At 40.1% G+C, this 23,085-nt stretch overlaps 1 protein-coding gene across 43 annotated transcripts in view, besides 2 other annotated features; it reads right to left on the reverse strand.

Annotated features, from left to right (window-relative positions):
* Positions 1–23,085, reverse strand: part of DOCK9 (dedicator of cytokinesis 9) — a 295,191-nt gene that overhangs the window by 116,346 nt on the left and 155,760 nt on the right. For all 43 annotated transcript variants that reach the window (XM_047430231.1, XM_005254035.4, XM_006719937.4 and 40 more), the window contains exons 3-9: positions 20,394–20,483; positions 16,063–16,145; positions 13,528–13,597; positions 12,277–12,372; positions 11,180–11,314; positions 5,555–5,729; positions 4,554–4,621 (exon numbers count right to left, since the gene is read on the reverse strand). In XM_047430231.1, the coding sequence (XP_047286187.1) occupies positions 4,554–4,621; positions 5,555–5,729; positions 11,180–11,314; positions 12,277–12,372; positions 13,528–13,597; positions 16,063–16,145; positions 20,394–20,483 (717 nt within the window). The remainder of the gene's footprint in view (positions 1–4,553; positions 4,622–5,554; positions 5,730–11,179; positions 11,315–12,276; positions 12,373–13,527; positions 13,598–16,062; positions 16,146–20,393; positions 20,484–23,085) is intronic.
* Positions 20,060–20,612: an enhancer, noted in NCBI's record as "H3K27ac-H3K4me1 hESC enhancer chr13:99582088-99582640 (GRCh37/hg19 assembly coordinates)". NCBI's record gives its function as "activates a minimal SCP1, AML or CMV promoter by ChIP-STARR-seq in primed H9 embryonic stem cells {active_cell/tissue: H9 hESC(primed)}" and the evidence as "EXISTENCE:reporter gene assay evidence [ECO:0000049][PMID:30033119]".
* Positions 20,613–21,165: an enhancer, noted in NCBI's record as "H3K27ac-H3K4me1 hESC enhancer chr13:99582641-99583193 (GRCh37/hg19 assembly coordinates)". NCBI's record gives its function as "activates a minimal SCP1, AML or CMV promoter by ChIP-STARR-seq in primed H9 embryonic stem cells {active_cell/tissue: H9 hESC(primed)}" and the evidence as "EXISTENCE:reporter gene assay evidence [ECO:0000049][PMID:30033119]".

A 23,085-nucleotide genomic window follows, 5' to 3' on the forward strand; every position in this document is an offset into this window, starting at 1 on the left:
AAAATTAAGAAAAGGTGTCCGTGAAACTGCTGGGTCCTGACAAGTTCTGCTGAGCATGGCCCTTGATCCTCACTCCATCTCCATGAGACTATAAAGTCTGAGACATCATACTTTCCCCTGCATGCAACTGTGGAAGATTTACCTGGAACAATAAGTTCATTTGCTTAAAACAAAGTTAAAAGGTAAAAGGATGTGAGCAATTCCGGATTTAGAAGAAATTCTACTTCTCTTTCAGAACCACATGGGGAAACCAAAGTAAAAGTTGGATGCTATTCTTTGAGTACAAAAATAAAAGCTCACAAACAGAAAAGCTGTGGAAGAAAACATAAGGTGGGTTTTCTTCACACTATCTTTAAGGAGGTGACATATATGTTCTGATGTCACCTAAGATATAAATGTAACCAGAGAAATAAATTATTAAATAACTAGTAATGAAGTTTATAACCTGATTATGTTACTCCTTGACTTTCTAGGGAAGAAATCAATTAACTAACTTGAACTACGGTTTGTGTATCAAACTAAAATATTTATAAGACTGATGCTACACACTGTTACATTTACAATAAAAATTGTTTGGTTCCATAATAGACAATAGGAGGAAAAGAACCAGTTTTAGGGTAAATACAGTGTGTTCTCTAATAAGAAAACAATACAGATGTTCAGTACTAAATGTACAAACATAAGCTCCAAGATTATACAAAATATTCTGAAAACCTGGGTTTACATCACTCACACTGTAAGTAATGAGCCCTTCCATAATATTCCAGAATGAGACATCAGTTATTTTTGCACTGAAACAACTTCCTGTCGGTCATATCCTGTTTGGCTATGTCTTAGTCACAGTGGAAAACAAAAGCCGGGGCAACAGGATGAAGGAGGTTAGAGGAGCTGATTAGAAAAGGAACCTGCCATGAAATTACACCTTCAGCCACCTTCTGCCTGCCCTCATTGTTCTAGGCCCTTCTTTGTAATCTTACTGAACTGTGGCCCAGCCTCCCAGCCTGACCCTTTCTTGCACCTTCCTTCCCTGATACTGACCTCTTTACCTCTTCATACCCTGGGTAAACTCCTTGCACAGTTCTCTCTCCCCACCCCTCCCTCTGCATACTTCAGTCTCTGATTCTGTAACCATGGAATCCATCCTTCCTAATGGGATGACCAACAGTTATCAGGTCAACTTCTTTGCCTTCTCAACCGGTGCAAATAGTTCAGACACCCTGAAGGGGGATGATAAACAGCCAAAACTGCATTTTTGCTCAAGGCTGGGGATGGGGAACACAGGTCTCCCCTTACTGCCTGGGCTGCTCACACTGACACCAAGCTGGGCTTTAAAAGGCAAAGCCCACAGATACCCATGTGCTGAGTGAATAACTCATCTCCATTTTCTTCATTCTTTTCCCCTTCAAAAAATTACTTTCCACCTTTCTACCTTCCTAAATAAAAGTATTTGTAAAACACCTGAAAGCCAGGGGGAAAGAGTAAAAGCCTCTAACAAGGATTCATTTTTCAGGTTTTGACCATGACTCCTGGTAAGAAATGTTTCAAATTCCCAACACAAAGATAAATGTTTGAGGTGATGGCTATCCCAATTATCCTGATTTGATCATCACACATTGTATACAGATATCAAAGTATCACATGAACTCCCAAAATAGGTACATTATATACCAATGAAAGTAAATAAATATACATAATAGCACACTAAGAAAAACAAATATCTTTTATATCACTATGCAAGACACACATACACACTATATGTATAAATAGTACATTGCCCTTAATAATGACATTATTTTATGTAAAAAATTATGTAATTCACTTTAAAAAGTTTTTTTTCAGGTCGGGCGTAGTGGCTCATGCCTGTAATCTCAGCACTTTGGGAGGCTGAGGTGGGTGGATCTTTTGAGGTTAGGAGTTCAAGACCAGCCTCGCCAACATGGTATAAAACCCTGTCTCTACTAGAAATACAAAAATTAGCTAGGCATGGTGGCAGGTGCCACCAAAATAATAATGACAGTATTTTATATAAAAAATAATGTCATTATTAAGGGCAGTGTACTTTCATATTCTCCATTCAATTCTATTACATTAAAAAAACACTTTTTTTTTTTTTGAGACACAGTCTTGCTCTGTCACCCAGGCTAGAGTGCAGTGGCATGATCTCAGCTCACTGCAATCTCTGCCTTCCAGGTTCAAATGATTCTCCTGCCTCAGCCTCCCAAGTAGCTGGGATTACAGGCACCTGCCACCACGCCTAGCTAATTTTTGTATTTCTAGTAGAGACAGGGTTTTATACCATGTTGGCAAGGCTGGTCTTGAACTCCTAACCTCAAAAGATCCGCTCACCTCAGCCTCCCAAAGTGCTGGGATTACAGGCATGAGCCACTATGCCCGACCTAAAAAAAACTTCTTAAAGTGAATCACATGTTTAGCTAAATAAGCCTGACACAAAGAGTACATGTATAAGTCCATTCACAGGAAGGTCTAGAAAAGTCAAAACTAATCTACGGTGATGGAGGTCAAAATAAAGAGGGTCTCAGGTACAAGCTAGCCTGAGGGCTGCTTATATCAGTGTACAAATGCGAACTCCAGTGAGCTCTACAATTCATGTTTGAGCATTCTGCTATTGCAAATTATACCTCAATAAAAAGAATAAAAAACTAAATAGAAACAAAACAAAAAGAAGCAGGGGTTGAAATCAAACTGATTTCACCAACTAAAATGGCTTAACCTAACTTGTAACCCATAGTTTAAAAATAGTTCCAAATATTTTAAATGACAAAATATACAATTATACTTATAAAAAAGTATATATACATAAATGTATACATTTATATTAAATATATGTATATCTTAAAAAATCTCCCTAGGTCTTGGGATCAAACAATACTGAATTATATTGGCTGGGTAGTAAGAGAAGGAGGGGACCGTTCCTGTATATCCTCATAGGAAAAAGCATAGATTTTTAATTAATCAACATTAGGCTCAAATAACATGAATCTTCTCCTAGGTATCCATTCCGTTCACCCAGTAAGTGCAGAAGGTTACTTTCTGAATTCTAGATGGCATCACATATATTACCTGCTGCAACAAACTAAAACCCAAATGGGCACAAATATTTTGTTTTGAGAAATTATGAACCCCCAAACATCCAGAAACAAAAAAGCAAATCTCAATGCAAAATATGATACACAGACATTCATAACACAAACACACAAGCCAAAACTCTTCCCAGACTAGGAGGTGGTTTACAATGGTGGCACTAAAATTAGCTTTAATAGGCAGGTGCTAAAAAGATACTGTGGTAGCAGTCAAGTCCTAAAGAAAAACAATGCTCTAAAGCCCTAGCCAGGGAGGGAGATTTTACACTTGAGAACAGCCATGTTGTCTTAAAATAAAGGTCAATGCTGAATGCTGGTCTATTTATAATCCTATATAGATAAACCATGTTTCTATTATAGTGTTTAAGATGTGGGTGTGGAGGGTCGCCATTTCACTCTAGTATCAAAAAAGAATAGAAGGGCAGTAACAGAGTAAGAGTGCAAAGGGCTAGAGAAGACAAAGATATTTCTCTCATTTAAGAAAGAATCATTCAGATACACACAAGGACACAAGTACAAGGACAGTCATTGTAGCTTTGTTTATAATAGAAAAAAATGAAAATAATAGAACAGCTAAAATAAAAAGTCTATATAGTACAAATAAAAGGGGTAAATTTAAAAATTTTTTAAAGTGCAGAATACATATGGTATGTTAGCATTTATAAAACATTTTTAAACATACTAAATCATACTGTATATATCATTATGATAGATTTATTTGTAAAGATATAAAAATGAAAGTAAAACTTTTAATAGTGCTTGTTTCTGATTGGGGTTGTGGGAGAAGAAGAGAATGGGAATAAGGACAGTGTTTAAAAAGAACTTCAACTATAACCGATGTTTTATATCTTTTAAGAATATGGAAGCTAAAAAGGCAACATCATAATAGATATTTAATCTGGGAAGTAGCAGTATGGTTGATTTGCTTTTCTTTGTGCTTTTCAGTAACTTTTAAATTTCTCAAAATTGTAAGACACAGGAATAGCTTATTTTTTTTCCAGTAAGAGTGACCCGAAACAATTTCTGTAACTCAGGCAACCCCCGGGTTTCGTGGCAAGATTACCAGGTCCTTCCTCTTTGGAACCGTGTCTATTACCCTGAGTAAGGGAGAGCACATGTATCAACATAGAAAGTACGATGCTATTATGAGAACATCTGCCTGCATATTTCAGTTATTTCTTCAGTACCTGTGATGCAGTGTTAAGCATTATCAGGGAAAAAAACACTTAAAATAATAATAAAAGGAGAATGCTTTGTAGGGTACTTTTTAGAAGACAGACCTGAAATCATACTGCATGAGTACACGTCACCTCGTAATCAGGTCAGAAAAAGAGAGAGGTAATCACAATGTAATTTTTATGATTTCAACAGATTCCATTCTGGACAAACCAGTGAAATGAGACATACTTCAACAGCATTCAACGAAGAGCAGAAGATATAAGACGATGTTACCTTGGCAAGTTCCGGCAGGTAGCTATCTAAACCGGAACCAGAACCTTCCAATTTGCTTTGTTCATCATCTAAAATGGCAAAACAGATTATCGGAATCACTTGTAATTCATAGCATTTCATTTGAAACAGGAGGAGGAAGGCCGTTTCTCTTAGGTGCCTTCAAATGAACACAGTGGTTCCCCACTCTGGATGCTCCTGGGAAACACTTGGGGTGCTTTGAAAAAATACTGATCCACAGGCTCAGTGATGAAAGTCAAAACACTGAGCAGCTGGTATAGCATGGACACCGTCCAATTAGAACTGACACTAGCTATGAACAACAGCCCACATGGACACGTCCATGAGACCCCCTAAAAGTCAGACCTGCCCAGGCTCCACCCCAGACCAACTAAATCAGAATCTTTTGTGGGACCAGGTAAATGGTATTTTTAAAAAGCTCCCAGGTACTTCTAAGGGGAAGCCAGGGTTGGGAATCACCTAAGGGTTGAAGTAAAACATGAATTGTCAAGAACATAGCCAGATTTTTCTCACCAATTTAATCTGAGGCTCCCATGCATTCTAATTATTACTAATATTTTATAATACAGTAAAATTCTATGCCAGATACTTGAGATTCATTTTCTTATTTACACTTCCCATCTTCCCAGCAATTTTCATGTTTATTCCCATTTTATAGGTGAGTCAACTGAGGCTCAGAAAACATAAGTTGTTTACCCAGGGCTACACAGCTGAAATACAGTATTTATGGCACTCAAACCCAGGTCTCCCTTTCTGCCTCCAAAGCTTTGGTTCTTCCCATTACATGATTTCCATATACGAAATGTCAGGGAAGTAAGTTATAATGTGACAAAACCTTTGCTGACAGGATATTTGTAAAGAGCTCCTATCCGTCCCACCTCTCATGTACTTGTGTAACACAGGTCTCCTTCTTATACCCACCTGGCAAAAATAAAGACACCCACAGAGTGTGTATGTGCCTGGGGGAAGCCAAGCCTATCTACCTTCGTGAGAGTCGCCATTTCGCTTTTCTTGCATTGCAGCTTCAAAGTTGAGCTGGAGGATCTTATTTAGAATTGTGATCCATTCTTCCATTTCCACTTCACTGTCTGCTGCCAAGAGATAACTACTTTTGTCCTGCATCTTGAGCTCAAAAGCAAAACGCCTGACTTTGTTGTTCTGAAATGAAAAAAGGATAAACAGACATACTTTAAAAGAATTAGAACTGCTTTAAAATAATTACTCTCTCTTGTTGGTGAGTGATATCTCATTGGCATTTAGAACCAAGCTATTTTAAATAGCTTGCCCCCTCCTCATGAAAGCCCCCCCCCATGAAATCCCATTACCGTCCACCTTCCCTGCTTCACTTTCTGCAAGCTTTATTTTTCCTTCTGACTCATTACCTGCTTTACATACTCATCTGATTCACTGTGTGTCCCTGCAGTGGAATGAAACCTCCTCAGTGCTCCCATTTTTGTCAGTGCTACACATCCTTAGTCTCTATGGACTCTACAGTGACTTGCACATAGTGGGTATTTGAAAAATATTTGTTGAATAAATGAAATTTCATGTAAAATTTTCATATTTCTTCAGCTCCTATTTTTTTAATGAAGTAGTGTATGGTATTACATTTTTAAAAGCCAACCATTATCTATTACTATGTTTGGCTTACTTATCTGGAACTTTCCCATCCTTTATGAATCCCAAAAGGTATTTGGACTCCCTGTCCGTGGCCTTGCCTCATGCCTCCAGTTTTCATGCCTGCAAGAGGGTGACTGGCTCACAGAACAAGAACAGTAGTCCATGTGCAGTAACAGACGGAAGATGAACATGCACTAGGCCAGGATTTCTCAATCTCGGTACTACTGACACTTGGGCAGCCAATTCTTTGTTGTGAGTGGCTGGTCCATGCATTGTACAATGTTTAGCGAAATTTATGGCCTTAAGCCAATAGATGCCAGTCTTCAGACATTCCAAGATGTCCTCCAGGGAGCAAAATCTCCCCAGGTTGGCCGCAGTAGACAGAGGTTCAGCTCTGAGGATCATGGCACAAGATCCCCTGTAAGGACAGGCTGAGCGATATGAAATCAAACACTCCCACTAACCTGAGCCAGCAGGACAGCCCCCCGCATAGCCACTAAAATCCTACTGGGTTATCCACACTCTCTCTAAGAGTTCCTTGGTGGAGGTCTCAGGGACAGGGCAACCCTCCCAAAAGTCTCTGTGATTCTGCAGCACAGTTCTTAGAAATGCAAAGTCAAGTGCTCCCCTTGGCAAAGCCACACACTCTTGTGCACAGACTGTCTGCTGTGGGCTCAGTAATTGCCACTTTGGATTCCACTTAAACTTCAAGGCAAGAACCAGGGAAGAAGTCAAAGGCTTGAAACAAAATGAATTTTCTCTCCTCCTTTCCCTGCATACTCACAATCATGAAAAGAGAAAGTTAAAAGTGGAGAAAAAAACATTAGGCCTCAATTCTAAATTTCTGTTTCTGAGCCTCAGTTTTCTCATCTGCAAAATAAGTATAATAAATTTCAAGGGTTCTAAAATGCTTCAAAATTTTTTAGTTTAGGCACTTTTTTTAATTCACAGCACCAGTCAACTAATTTTTTTATAATATCCATAAGTAATAATTTTTAAAAACACTTAAATCACAACTTTTGATGCTTAGTTTACAAACAGACACAGATAAAAACAAATTATTTTACTCTTTTGAAGCCTTGGATACACTTTATTAAATGAAAACACCATCAGCTGCATCTGCAAAGACAATTTGAAGGAAGAGACTTCCATTGAAGTCAGAACCTTAGATTTTGAAATGCACCCCGGAGACTAATTGATAGCTCAGGGCAGTTGTACTTATAAACATCTGTCCCTGGGCCAGAAACAGGCAGCAAAACTCTCTTATAAAACAAAAATAATTACTTCCTACTTTAAAAAATGAGGTTGCCAAATACATTTAGTTTTGCTTTAACCTTCTTTTTAAAGTCAGTGCCAGAAAATTCAGCTAAAAAGTAACTTAAAGGTCTTTTGACTAAAGAATACAAATAAAACTCCTACTTGGGAATCCCACCCAAGAAGTCAATTCACTGTCACTGATAAATCACTCTGGCACTCCTTACTTCACAGACATTGTCAATGAACATACTCTGATATAATTAGATTGTTCATAGTGGTGGCCTTCAGAGAAGGCTGAATTGCCAGCTAAGAGACATCCACATTAGCTGTTGACTGAAAACAATTTTCAGTGAGCATTAAGTGGTGCTACAGTCTTGAACGTGGGCCCAAATATACTTTCATGTATTTTACCTTTTTTTTTCTTTTTTTTTTTTTCGGCAGGGCGGGGGTACTGCACAGTGGTATTTTGTTTGTTTGCTTTTTGTATCCTCTCAAATTACCTGTTGGTGTTTTTTATTTATTTTTCAAAGTGGTTTTTAAAGTTAGTTACCAATAACTAAAGTTACCAAAGTTTAACTCAAATTCTGTATTTCTTGCTTTTTGAGAAACCAGATGATCTGGCACCTTTGAGCCGGGGGTTCCACCTGGCGGCACCAGCTGCAGGTGGGCAGGAGATGCCCCCTTTAAATGGGGCACTGGGCTCCAGGTCACCCCGGCATTCCCTATTGCTTTGCAACCAGGCCTCTCTGTCACTTAATTGACCTCCTTGGTCCCTGCAGACATCTGATTCTGGACCCCTCCCTTCCACTGCTGACCATAAGGAAGAAACAGGATCTGGACTTAGCCTCCCACCATCATTGCTAGAAAAGTGGACAAAATACATGAAATAACTGTTTTCAGATAGGGGACAAAAGGCAGTGCAGCCCTTTCTCTGTAGAAGGGAAAGACTGAAGTGAGCCCCAAATTGCCTCAGCTTTCTGCCTGGAGGCAGTATCTGAATTGCAGCACAGGAAGGGGAATCCAAAAAGAGCCCTGCCATCTTGCTGAGTAGAAGACACTGACGAGACCTGGGGAAGACCAAGGTGGCCAGAATATGCAGGGCAGAGTCTCCAGAATGACGGGAAATAAAACAGCACAAAGATAAGAAAGAGCCGAGCTCCAGAAAGATCCACCGAGTCACACATGCATTAGGCATATATTTTCTATTTATATGTTATACCTTATTTTCTATTTATATGTTATAACTTAACAAAAAAGCTTACCAAAGCATAAAATAAAAATCAAGACACAACAACCAAAATTTTAGAACACTAAAGAGAAGACCACAAAGAACAGGGATTTCGAATAACATCAGAACCTTCCAAACGACAGTGGAAACTAGATGGCAATGGGATGCCCTTGAAATTCCAAGGTAAAATGATTTCACTTTGAATTTTATAACTAGCCAAACTATGAGTCAAGCATGAATGCAAAAATTAAGATATGAACAGATACCCTAATTCTCAAAAAATTAACATCTCACACACAATTCCTCAGAAAGCTGCAGAAGATGTGCTCCCCCAAAACAAGAAAGTAGAACAAGAAAGAGGAAGGCATAAGGTCCCAGAAACAGGAAACCCAACACAGGAAGGAAGACAGGCCGAATGTCTACATGGCAGGTGTGTGGGGCAGGAAAGCAATTCATCCAGACTAGAGGCCAAAGGAGGGTGCCAGGAGCTAAAATCCGATCTACCAGCACAGGAAATCATGCAATGACGTCCAAAACTGATGAATGAAGAAACAGCAGTGAACACTTGTGATCTAGCACCACTACTATTTCAAGGGAATAGGATGTGAGTGGGTAAGGTGATGCAGGGGTGAAGCACTGCCCTTCAGCACTGCTGGGCTGTTTCTCTTTTTTTTTTTGAGATGGAGTCTCGCTCTGTCACCCAGGCTAGAGTGCAATGGCGCAATCTCAGCTCACTGCAACCTCCGCCTCCCAGGTTCAAGTGATTCTCCTGCCTCAGCTTCCCAAGTAGCTGGGATTACACGCACCCACCACCACGCCTGGCTAATTTTTGTATTTTTAGTAGAGACGGGGTTTCACCATGTTGGTCAGGCTGGTCTTGAACTCCTGACCATCCGCCTCTGCCTCCCAAAGCGTTGAGATTACAGGCGTGAGCCACTGCAGGGCTGGGCTGTTTCAATCAGACAAATGTATTCCTTGGAAGAAAATGCACTTTAATTCTAGGTAAACATGTAAATATGTAACAAGTATACCTTTAGTCAAACCAGAGAGCTGTGTCACACTGGCCCCACCAAACAGTCTCCTTACAGAATCGAGCTACAGGCTGATGTGATCAGCCATCATGGAGTTATCTGAAGGGAGAATTCTTTGATAATGGTGACTGAATCTTTTGTGAGGGGTTGTTAGGAAGATTGTTCATCAACCACAGAGCCTTCTGTGTGAGGGGAACCCTGAGAAAAATGCCTGAATGATCTTCATTCTGAGATTGCTTGGGCAGCTTCTGACTAATTGGATTGCCTTTATCTCATGTGCACTGTGAATTGCGTGACTAAACAGGTCTCCAAGTGAGAAAGCATAGAGCCCAGGTGGTGGCCCACCCACAGCAGGTGTTAGATCTTCAAAACATACGCTTTCTCCTTAACTCTATTTTCTCTCACCCTTATCCCAATCCCCTGTTCATCTTTCTGCTTTCACCCCCACTTTAAATTTATGCTATCCCATGTCCTGTGTATGCTTATAAGCTGCTGCCTTAAATCTTCCTTGAAAGTGGCAAGGCTGGATGAATGGAGGGGTGGACAGATGGATGGATGGATGGATGGATGGACAGATGATGGACAGGGAAATTGACAACTCTCTTCCAAAGACAATGCTAAAAAGCTACAGAAGGATGCATGCAAAACTGGTAGTAGCTCCCCTCAGAAAAGAGACACTGAAGGAGGGGAGGAGTCCAGAAGGACTTTCACTTTATCTGTATTGTCTGATTTTTTACAAGAAAAATACATTCATGTGTTATCTTTAATTAACAATAATTTTAAAGGATAAGTACATAAGCCCTATGATATAAAAGTACAACAGCCCTATGATAACAAAACTATCTAATACTGACCAAATGCTTACCATTTGTTGGCACTGTTCTAAGCTTTTTACATGTGTAATGAATGAACCCTCTCAGTAACCATATTTGGTACTGCCATTATCCTTATTTAACAAATGAAGAAACTGAGGTACAGAGAGGTTAAATAACATCTCCAAGGTTACACAGTTGGTAAGTGGAGGAGCAGGGATTTGAACTCAATCTGCGCTGAAACCTAATCTCTTTACTGATCTACACCGCCACTGGTACTACAATGCTAGCGATAAAAATCACCACTGAGATACTATGAAGTGTTTTAAATATTTTCCTGCACTGATTCATCCAATGTACTCATTTGCCGTATTAAAGAAACATTCTCATTATCTGAATTAAGTAGCCTGTTAAAGGTCACGCAGCTATAAAGTGGCCGAGCCAGAGTGCTCCTGCCTGCCACAGCATAATTCTGCCTCTACATTATCCCTTCCATCTTCTACAATGATGAAAAACAAGGCTTGCCTCATTTAAAGTTATATGTTATATTTCTACCATGCATATTGCCATTTTTGGAAGTGTTTGCTTAAATCTGCTAATTTACACATAAGCACTACTGCAGATAAGAAAACATAATGGTAAAACTCTTTTCATATTTACCTGAACGACACCCATACAGGAATCCAGAAATATTGATCCTTTTGGTTCTTTGGAGATCTTTTCATCTTTATAAAAATTCAAATTATAGGATCCATCGCCAAGTTGAATCAGGTGGAAAAATCGTCTCTTAAATGACTGAGAGAAAAATATACACACAGCTATTCTTTCAAAATGAAGAGGGTCACAATCTCTATCAATAACCCACTTATGACTACATACATACATAAAACCTGTTTCCGTTCTCACTCTAGCTGATGCTCCAGGTCACTGTGGGGTCAAGACTCCCCATCCCATCTAAGAAGCTCACTGCATCTCAGTTCTGAGGAGGTGGTTCCCCTAATATCCATGGGTCATTTTTCTCACCCACGGAATCAGAGATTTTACATAACTACCCAAAAGCAGTGCAGGGACTTCCAATTTGGGATGCAGCACAGAAGGACAGAAACTTTCTCTAAAATCCCCAGGGTTTCTTGCTCACAGAATGGGAACTATTTTTTGCCTCATGACGCTGAATGATTTTCCAGCCTTAGGGTAATGACAGTCACATTTCCTCCTTAATTTTTATCTCCCTGACTCCCTTGTTTCTCTTCCCTTTGTTATTAATCCTGATGTTCCTCTGGTCCCACTTTTCTCCTGAATAGCTTCTTCTATTGGTTTGACTTCTCTGTCTGCAACCTTCTCTTCTATGCAACTATTTTCTTTTCTCGTCCTCAATTTTTGCTTTACTTGACTTTGCTGCAGTACACCTCCACAGAAGTGCTCAGGATTGGCATGACAGATAGCCCCTTGGTGACATTCTGTGAGGTACCAAAGAGCACTTTTCAGTTATTACAGAGAAGAAAGCCTATGTCAGTGTCTGCACCTTCACACCAGCCCAGGGATGGTCTCCTTATGCTGGTGGTCAGAAGACAGTGAGGGAAAGTGGGTGGATGAGGCTGTGCCAATGGGGGTGCTATCACCAGGGGAGCATCCTAGGAATCAGACAATGTCCCTTTTGTGGGGAAGAACAGCATGCGCATTCATCTTGAGCATTGTTCTCGAGCTCTATGGCAGAAAGGGCTTGTGAGAGGGGAGGGCAAAGTGATGTGCGTCCTCACCCTCATGGTCACGCTGATGGCACTGTTCATGTTGCCTTTGTACAGCCAGCCATGCTTGGTGATCCCACCCTTCTGGGAACCAAGGGAGGCAGCATCCTAGGAGAGAAGGAAAACACCAGCAGTCAACCTCCCGTTATTACCTGGGTTGCTTGCTGTGAGTTTGGTCAATGGGAAGGTCATTCCCTTTGTGCCAAGTTGTCCATTGCCCCTTTACTGAAGCACCCATTGACACCAATGCCTACAAGTCACATAAAAGTCCACTTAGCGGTGAAAGAGAGAGACCCGCCTACATTTCTGAAAACTTTATTCCATTAAAGGCAAAGCTAGCTCCTGTCCAAATTTTTATTTGTCAGTGTTTAATGAGCCACAAAAGGACCAAAAAGGACATACCTCAACTGACCACTCACGTTGGAAGGTCTTGCCTGGTTTCACGAAAAAATGTTTTCAAATGACACTCCCCTATAGTCAGAGGACAAAAGCACATGCACATTCCTGGAAACCTTCCCAGAGGCTTAGTTCAGGGAAAGGTGAATAAAGCAAGGGAGGAAATTGAGGCAATACAGAAAGGAGAGATAAAGTGATGGGGGGAATAAAAATAATTTGCTACATGCACATTGCTTAATGAGTGGCTAATGTTATAGCTCAGCTGACAATTTTTTTAAAGAAGGAAAAACCTAAACTCACAATGGGACACTTAACAATCAATGGGGAGGATGAGAAATGCAGAGATGGGCATTGTCTTCTTGTGAGGTTTCCCTCACTCAGTGGGCAGACTCATCTCAATGCCCTACTCCCTTTATATAGTTCTTTAGCCATGAGCTTTCCTCTAGGAATAGGGGGAGTGGGCTTGATCAAATCAGACTTCACTAAAAGCAATCATTGAAGAAATAGCCATTTAAATCTACTGGCTGGCAGCTGTTTCGAGATCTGTTGAAAAACAACCTAAATTCAAGGTCTAAGTCATCTTGATATCTTTTAACAATGTAGCCAGATCTGATCCAAGTCTTTGAAAATGATCTCAGAACAAATAAACACAACCAAGAGAACATGAAATGCTAAGCAGTAAAGTTGAAACAGAGACCTTATTCCAATCAATCAATAACATTTTTAAAAAATTATTCCCGTTTCATGTAACACTCCAATGCCTGTTTTGGCTAAATGTCGGTAATTTTCTAACTAATCTTCTAAGTCTGTAAAATTGATGTTTAAATCTAGAGTGAAAAGAGAAGCAACAGCAAGCAGGTATCCCACCTCATCTTTGTCGACCTCCTCGTCAACTTCATAGACATGAACTGGAAGTTTATCCAACTTGACCACTTTGCTATAAAAACAACAAAGAAAATTTGTTTTAGAAATGCCTAGTCAAGGAAGAGGCTTTGCATTTCTTCCTCCATCATAGGGCCCGGCCTTTACTAAATCCAAAGATGGCCCAGCTTCTTTATTCAGACAAAGAATAAAACCATCTATGCCCTTGCTTTTCAAGGTGGGTAAGCCAAGAGACTTGAGTAAGAAAGCTCCAAAAAGCTATGTGGAAAAGACAGCATAGCTTCTGGGGAGTTAGCAGGCATACTAAAAATAAGAAAGTGGATTAGTTTTTAATAAACAAAGACTTGGTAGAATAACTTTTAATACAAAGTTTATGAGGAAAAAAAGGAAGATTGAGTTGTTGCGTTGAAACCGATTAACAATGATGGTATTAACCACAACAAAAACAAGACACCAATACCAATAAGCAGCTTACATTTACTCAATGGGTATGACGTGCTAGGCCCTGCGCACTTCTCATGTGCCCTCTCATTTAATCCTTTAATCATGGTGACTGTTGTTAAGGCCATTTAACAGATGAGGAAAATCAGGCTGACAGACGGCAGAGTCGTCTGAGGCAGAACACAGAATCTGTGTTCTTCACCACTGTTACAATTCTCCCTCTCTTTCTCATCACACATTTGGAAATTCTCATTAATGCCAAGAGAGAAAATGTACCAGCAGTCTATTAGATAGTAAGTATACGACATGACATAGTCTGATATCTTTCAACCCTGAGACTATGAACAAGAGGATCAACAAAGATGGGTTAAGCCAATCCAATGGGAAGAATTAAAAAATCCCTAAGGGAGGATTGGGTAAATATAGAACTAAAGGGCTACCCATCTGGAGAAGATAATACTAGGAGGGAGTGTTCCTGGCTGAGGTTTAAAAAGAGGCAATCGGGGAATTGGCCGAACATTCTTAAGGAGTGGCAAAGCCACACAAGGAGGAAAAACAAACAGCTAGGTCTACTGAGAACCGCATAAAAGGTTCCAGCTCAAAGATGTAACAAACGCAAAGAAAAATACATTAATCAGGTCTCAAGTAATATTTTCATTGGTGATGGTTAGTTTTAAAACATAATCCATCACTATTTGCTTTCAATTTTCCCAAAATCAAGTATAATTCAATTTGCCAACTGCTATGGTTTGGATATGGTTTTTATTCCCACCAAAACTCAGATTGAAATTTGGTCCCCGTTGTTGCATAATTGGGCCTAGTGGGTTATGGGGCAGATCCATCATGAGAGGCTTGGTGCTGTTCTCACAGTAATGAGTGAATTCTTGTTCCTGGCAAGATGGGATTACTTGTTGCTGAAATGGATTAGTACCCAAGAGAATGGGTTGTTATAAAGTGAGTTTCCTCCTCCTCTTTGGTCTCTTTTCACAAGTGCCAACTTTCCCTTTGACCTTTTCCATCATGTTTTGAAGCAGCACAAAAGTCTTCAACAGAAGCTGAGCAGAAGCCAGTGCTATGCTTCTTGTACAACCTGCAGAACTATAAGCGAAATAAATCTCTTTTCTTGGCTAGTCTCGGTGGCTAATGCTTGTAATCCCAGCACTTTGGGAGGCAGAGGCAGGTGGATCACCTGAGTTCAGGAGTTCGAGACCAGCCTGGCCAACACGGTGAAACCCTGTCTCTACTAAAAATACAAAATTAGCCGGGCGTGGTGGCAAGTGGCTGTAATCCCAGCAACTCGGGAGGCTGAGGCGGGAGAGTTGCTTGAACTTGGGAGGTGGAGGTTGCAGTGAGCAGAGATCGTGTCATTGTATTCCAGCCTGGGTGACAGAGCAAGACTCTGTCTCAAAACTAAATAAATAAAAATAAATAAATAAATCTCTTTTCTTTAGAAATTACCCAGTCTCAGGTATTCCTTTAAAGCAACACACAATGGAACCTTTTATAAAAGATAGTCTGTCAAGGCAATACCTAGCTACCGCGATTCACTTTGGCCACAACTATTCAATCTAAATACACTTGCTTTTGGTATAGTCTAGAATAAGTTAATACATTAAAGGAGATAAAAAAAAAATTTAACTGGGAAAATGCTTGTTTCTTGATTTACTTTTTTTAAAAACATAAAATTTATTCAATGTAAAATGCTCTTTATAATTATCTTCTTCAAAATATTCTTTTCAAGGAAAAAATGCACTGCAGCATATTTCAGTACACTTACGTTTTGTTTGTTTTATATTTTGTAGTGAAAAAATTTCACCTATTTATTTATCAGTGGTACCCTGAAAAGAACCACTGGACATAATTAAACCATCCACATGTTTATTACTACCTATCAATACCAAAGTAGCATGTTTGAGTCTTACAATCAAAGGCCCTGTAAACAATAGTTACACCACATACACATAAACCATCTAAAAATATTTTCCTCAATTACTCTGATTGCATATGAAGTTACATACCTCCCCCCAAGCATTTCAAGTACAAAGACTTTTCCCTATGTGTATAATATAGCTTACTCACTTCGGAAGCTGTCGAAACTCTCCTGAGTAATCTTCATATTTATAGTTCACAAGATGCCAGTCAGAGTTATAGGTTTTGATGCACTATTGAAGGGGGATTTTAAAAATAGAAAATAAAAAACAGAAAGACGTGATTTTTGGAAAACACTTGGGAAAGTTTGTGAAGGCATACCCATAGAAACATCAAAAAAATTTTTTCCCATCAACGAGCTAATGCCTGAAATTCCACCACCAGAGATTCCTGTGAAGCTTGAGACTTTGAACCACTGAAACATTACCCTTGGGGGTAGTATCACTTTAAGTTATCATCATTAATGATCTGAGAGCAGGTTTTACAAGGAGACAACTTCACCTAACCTTGTGACATTTACTTAACAATGGACTATTTCAGAGTAAGCACCTGGTTCTTAAAAAGCCATGTGGCCTCTACTATGACATAAAAGTGAATAGGATGCGTGAACTTAAAGACGCCTTCATGGTATTTACTAATATTAGAACTAGCTAGCTCTGTTAGTTAATATTACCATATAAATCTGCCCTCAGTTTTTCTTTCCATTCATAAGGAAAAGAGTGAAATAATTAGGAAGAAACATATGCATTCCAATTAATATTAGCACCATGACATTTTCATCTGTGTGTGTGTACAGAATGTTTAATGTAGTCTTCCACTGCCAAGGATTCTATTAGTGACCTCACCTACACAGACTGCATTCAAACTACCTCGCCACATGACAGATTCAATGGGCCAGCCTGGTGTCCGTCGTTCATCCACCCATGAAGATCCTCCAATAGTGCATAAAGCCTAAGATTATAATGCCACATCCACCAGATCTTCAAATATGAATGAGTCAAAATCAAAAGCTAAAGAATTTTAGTTAAAATCAGCTTAGTTCAAATGATCTTCTGTCCAGTCAGCACTTGACTATTTATGTGCAGACTTCAGTGTGGGTGGAAAAAAAGCATGAGTGAATCAATGAAAACATAGGTCGATAAATGTATTTATGCCTTATCTAGTTTATTTGGCTCTGGCTGTAACTAACATGAACAACGTCTCTATTCTGCTTCTTTCACTTCATCGTTTCTACTGTCAACCTTTCTATCTGTGTCACAGGCCATGCCTGAAGGTCTTCTGAAGCAAACTCCCCTCCACCTCCAAACTCATGAAAGTAAGAATTACAACAGCAGCAAGTGCTTATTTTGTGCCAGGCTCTACAATAAGCACTTTACTGGCAAGGGTGTGATGTGTGATGTGAAGGTAATGTAAGTTTTTAAAATTATTCTGAGAGGTGGAATAAATGGCAGAGAAGGGCTAAGCGCAAAGTCAGATTTTGGAGCTGGCAAACTTTTTGATTTTTTTACTCTGTAGTTAAGAATATTTTAAAATGCTATTTTATCCTTGAAAATGATTTTTTTAGATTTCTCAAAGCATTTTCACATTTTGAGTATCATACATTCACACTCAAAATTTCATTCCAAAACCAGTCAGATTTCAGAATAATCCATAGTTTTGGATTTTCCCACTACTGCCCCTAGGTCCACTGGCACAGCTAAGTAGTCAGGCCTGACTATGTACGACGTGGTCTTGTGGGTGTGATCCTATTCTCTTCAAAGAGCTACAGCGGTTTTTCAACAAGCTCTAGAACTGAAATTGTACCACCAAGTCTCCTGCAGGACATTAAAACTATTCTGAAGTATAAAATGTACCTGCCCAATTAAAAACTAAATAAACCAGCATAAATTTGTATATTATAAATGCATTTATGAATGGAGCCCAGATTTTTATTTATTTATTTATTTTTTTTTAAGACGGAATCTTGCTCTGTTACCCAGGCTGGAGTGCAGTGGTGCAATCTTGGCTCACTGCAACCTCTGCCTCCCGGGTTCAAGCGATTCTCCTACCTCAGCCTCCCGAGTAGCTGGGATTACAGGCGAACACCACGACGCCTGGCTACTTTTTGTATTTTTAGTAGAGACAGGGTTTCACAATGTTGGTCAGGCTGGTCTCGAACTCCTGACCTCGTGATCCACCCGCCTCGGCCTCCCAAAGTACTGGGATTACAGGCGTGAGCCACTGCGCCTGGCCAAGATTTTAATACCTTAGGCAAAATGGGGAAAATAATTACAGTTTATTATGTTCATATATTTATAATTATAAGGAATCGCACATACAAAAAAAAAAAAAAACAAAAAAAAACTCCACAGTGAACCTGGCTAAGTATTTAGAGATTCATTGATTTAACAAGCCAGTGTTGACCATCTACATAGCAGGCATTGGCTAAATTCCAAAGCAGAAGCACAGAATTAGGCAAGCAACCCCCACCCCTCTGGGGATGCAGAAAGTCTAGGAGATAAGGAGTTCCATCAGAAAGCCAGATCCTGAGAACTGTACCTTCAAAAAGACAGGAATGTGACTGACTGATTATACGATTAACATTTCAAACTGGTGAAATTCAATAATATTTTGAAGTTACACTGAAAGGTTTTTGAAGTTTTTTTCTGCTTTGTTTTGCTTTGTTTTAAGCCATTAGGTCATTCCCTGGATCAGAGGATGAAGAGGAAGTGATGTTCACTCCACCCAAGTGGAAGGGTCCCAAAAGTGTTTAGTTATGTTGGCTCCAGCAGCATAGGATGAAGCAGCTATTGCTCAACCTGCAGTGATTAAATAACTTAATGGAGAGTTCTCCCTCAAAAAACCATATTTTTTTAATCAACTGGGAGAACTGAGTTAGCAATTAATAATTTTGCCACATGCTTTAAAACATAGGTCAACAAACTTTTTGTGTAAAAGGCAAGATCATAAATATTTTCAGCTTTGAGGGTCATATTATCTCTACTTAACTTTGAGTTGCATGGTGACAGTAGCCATAGGCAATATGTAAACAAATGTGCTTGGCTGCTTTACAATAAAACTTTATTTACAAAAATTGGCTACAGGCTGGATTTTGCTTGCAGGTCATAGTTTGCCACTACCTGCCTTAAAAAGACATTTATAACTACATTCACAAACATATCTGGCTGTATTTGTCTGGAATTAAGTTTACTAATATAGTGGCAAAGGAGGTAAGACAGGAAGTTACTTCTTCAGAAAGATGAGGGAACACACTTAAAAATTTTTTAATTTTATATTTAATTTTTCAAAAATCTCAATGGAAATTAAATATTGTTATTTAATTGGTCTTTATAAGAGTATTTATAGCTTCCTTATAGTAAGCAATTTTATTGATGAGCATATTTATGATCTAAATATCAACTAGAAAAACCAGGATTAAAAAAAAATCATTATTTTTAAATGAAGGTGCACTTAAAGAAACAAAATTAAAACATCTAATTATTCCTTCCTACCTAAAATTACCTGGAGGAAAAAACAAACACTCCAAGGGGAAAAACTAAAGCAAACAACCTAAATTGTAATAATTTCTCTTTCTGGCCAGGCACAGTGGCTCATGCCAGTAATCCTAGCACTTTGGGAGGCCAAGGCGGGCAGATCACTTGAGGTCAGGAGTCTGAGACCAGCCTGACTAACAGGCTGAAACCCTGTCCCTACTAAAAATACAAAGGTTAGCCAGGCGTGGTGGTGCACGCCTGTAATCCCAGCTACTTGGGAGGCTGAGGCAGGAGAACCACTTGAACCCAGGAGAGGCAGAGGTTGCAGTGAGCCAAGATTGCTCCACAGCACTCTAGCTTAGACAACAGAGCAAGACTCTGTCTCAAAAAATAAAAATAAAAATAAAAAAGTAAATAATTTATCTTTCTTCCATAAGATAATTTTATTTGCATTTTCAAACAAAAATAATATTAATCAATGTATCTTGATTAGGAATATATATAGTAATCAATATATATAATAATATATATTGACTAGCGATAGACCCTGCTTATTATCAGCTAGTACTTCATGAATACTAGTCAAAAATAACTTGCAAATATAAATGTATAAATGAAATAAATGATACATAAATGTGTGTGTCACCCTTAAAAACAGTATCAATAACAAGACCTCCCACAGATTTCCAGTGAATTCATTTACAAGTTACTGCTTATTTTAAGTCCATGAGATAAATTCTGTGGAATTCACTTTTTGTAGTCAGATATAGCCCCCTCCAAATAAATAAAGTTTTAAAAATAATAAAAATGTAAAAAAGAAATAGCCCCTGTGGACATTTCTGTCCAAGTTTCAGAGTCTGAAAAATTCACATTATTCTATTTGAACTTCCATCATAGAAATACAATTACCCTTTTGACACTTCCTTGACAATTTTGAAATTTAAAGAAAAGGAGGCAGTTAGGGGAAAATGACTTCAAAATGTAAATTAATGCAGGAAAGAGCCTTACCTCTGTAACAAACAAGCTCTGTGCTTCCTCTTCCGCCTTCGCAGGCACTGTTGAGCATATGTATCGACCCTGTCGTCTCAGGATGGCCGTCTGGAAACAAAAACAGGAGGAAAAGCCTTGGGTAAGTGAAGGAGGCAGGTGCCAGCCTCAGAGTGCAGCTGTGTGCCCTGCAGCTGGCCCTGGCAGCCACAGAGTCCCTCCAGTTTCTCCCATCCAGTGCAGCTGCCTCCTTCCGTCACACACAACAGATTCCACTGGGCAGCCTCAAGTTCCAAAGCCAGGCTGGGTTACAGCTCCTGCTTCTTTCTTGATCAGGGGCCCACAGATCCCTCCAGCTCAGCCCTTCCCGCAGGGTAGAGGCCCCGTTCAAAGTCCCTAACACCCCACCCCTAAGTGCTTGATCTAGCCCCATGACACAGCATCTTACTTGTCTTAACTGCCTTTTTTTATTCTGGTAAAATATGCATAAATTTACCATTTGAAACTTTTTTTTTTGAGATGGAGTCTTGCTCTGTTGCCCAGGCTGGAGTGCAATGGCGGGATCTCGGCTCACTGCAACCTCCGCCACCCGGGTTCAAGCGATTCTCCTGTCTCAGCCTCCCGAGTAGCTGGGATTACAGGCATGCGCCACCACGCTCGGTTAATTTTGTATTTTTAGTAGAGACGGGGTTTCTCCATGTTGATCAGGCTGGTCTCGAACTCCTAATCTCAGGTGATCCACCCGCCTCGGCCTCCCAAAGTGCTGGGATTACAGGCGTGAGCCACCATGCCCAGCCATTTTGAACATTTTTAAGTATACAGTTCAGTGGCATTAAGTACATTCACACAATTGTGCAACCATCACCACCATCCATCTCTTGTCATTTACATCTGTTCTTGTTCACTGCCACATCCCCAGCGCCTAAGAGCATAGATAACTAGACACACAGAAGATGCTCAATCAGTAATTGCTAAATGAATCTATGAACTGTGAATGCTACCTCCCCTCCAACGGACATTAGAACTGCTCGTGTTCATTAGGCTTAAATGCTTCTTTTAAATAAAATGACAGGGCAGGGGTAGCATCCTGTCTACCTCAATAACTAGGCTTAAGGTTTCCTTTTCTTTTTCTTTTTAATTTTTTTATTTATTTTATTTTATTTTATTTTTTGAGACAGGTCTCGCTCTGTCGCCCAGTCTGGAGTGCAGTGGCGCAATCTCAGCTCACTGCCAGCTCCGCCTCCCGGGTTCACGCCATTCTTCTGCCTCAGCCTCCCGAGCAGCTGGGACTACAGGCGCCTGCCACCATGCCCAACTAATTTTTTGTATTTTTAGTAGAGACGGGGTTTCACCGTGTTAGCCAGGATGGTCTCAATCTCCTGACCTCGTGATCTGCCCACCTCGGCCTCCCAAAGTGCTGGGATTACAGGCGTGAGCCACTGCGCCCAGCCTAATTTTTTAATTTTTTTGAGACGGAGTCTCTCTCTGTCACCCAGGCTGGAGTGCAGTGGCATGATCTCGGCTCACTGCAACCTCTGCCTCCCAAGTTCAAGTGATTGTCATGCTTCAGCCTCCTGAGTAGCTGGGACTACAGGCGGGCGCCACCACACCCGCCTAATTTTTGTATTTTTAGTACAGATGGGGTTTCACCATGTTGCCCAGGCTGGTCTCAAACTCCTGAACTCAAGCAATCCACCTGCCTCACACTCCCAAAGCACTAGGATTACAGGTGTGAGCCACCACACCCAGCCTTATTCTTTAAATAGAGATGGGGTTTCACCATGTTGCCCAGGCTGGTCTCAAACTCCTGGGCTCAAACAATCTCCCATCTCAACCTCCCAAAGTGCTGAGATTACAGGCGTGAGCCACCATGCCCGGCCTGGGCTTCAGGTTTCAGAAAGAAATATTCTAGTTTTTTTCTCCTATGGACTGTAACCCTTAGGTACTATTAACAGATCATAGTCGACTGGGCGCGGTGACTGACGCCTGTAATCCCAATACTTTGGGAGGCTGAGGTGGGTGGATAACTTGAGGTCAGGAGTTCCAGACCAGCCTGGCCAACATGGTGAAACCCCGTCTCTATTAAAAATACAAAAATATCAGCTGAGTGTGATGGCGCATGCCTATAATCCCAGCTACTCGGGAGGCTGATGGAGGAGAATCACTTGAACCCGGGAGGCGGAGGTTGCAGTAAGCCAAGATGGTGCCACTGCATTCCAGCCTGGGCAACAGAGCAAGACTCCATCTCAAAAAACAACAACAAACAAACAAACAAACAAACAAACAAAAAAACAGATCATAGTCATTAAAGCAGCATACAAGCAAACATTTTGCTGAGAGAATCTACCCTGTTAGCTCTTCATGGCAAATGACTACACTGGGATCTCACAGCATTGGTCCTGGCAGTTTCCTTTCTTCCTTTGGTTAGAGGTGGCTTTGGGTCAAACCTCTGCTCCCTTATCCCTCCAGCCTAGGTGGAGAACTTCAGGGCATGTGTTTTGTGTACAATTTATTTCCTGCCTGTATTTTCTCTCTCTGTTGTGTCTGCTTCACCTATATTTATTCTTTTCTTGCACTGTGTCTATCTTTGAAAGTAATCTTAAAGCCTATTTTTAGAATAAGGCTCCCCATTCTAAAGGAGTGGAAGAAATGAATTCTGTTCTTCACCAAAGTCCTTGGCAGGTAAATTATTTATTCCTTCAGCCTCCTAGGT

The sequence above is a fragment of the Homo sapiens genome, chromosome 13, assembly GCF_000001405.40.
Source record: "Homo sapiens chromosome 13, GRCh38.p14 Primary Assembly".
Classification (NCBI taxonomy): Eukaryota; Metazoa; Chordata; class Mammalia; order Primates; family Hominidae; genus Homo; species Homo sapiens.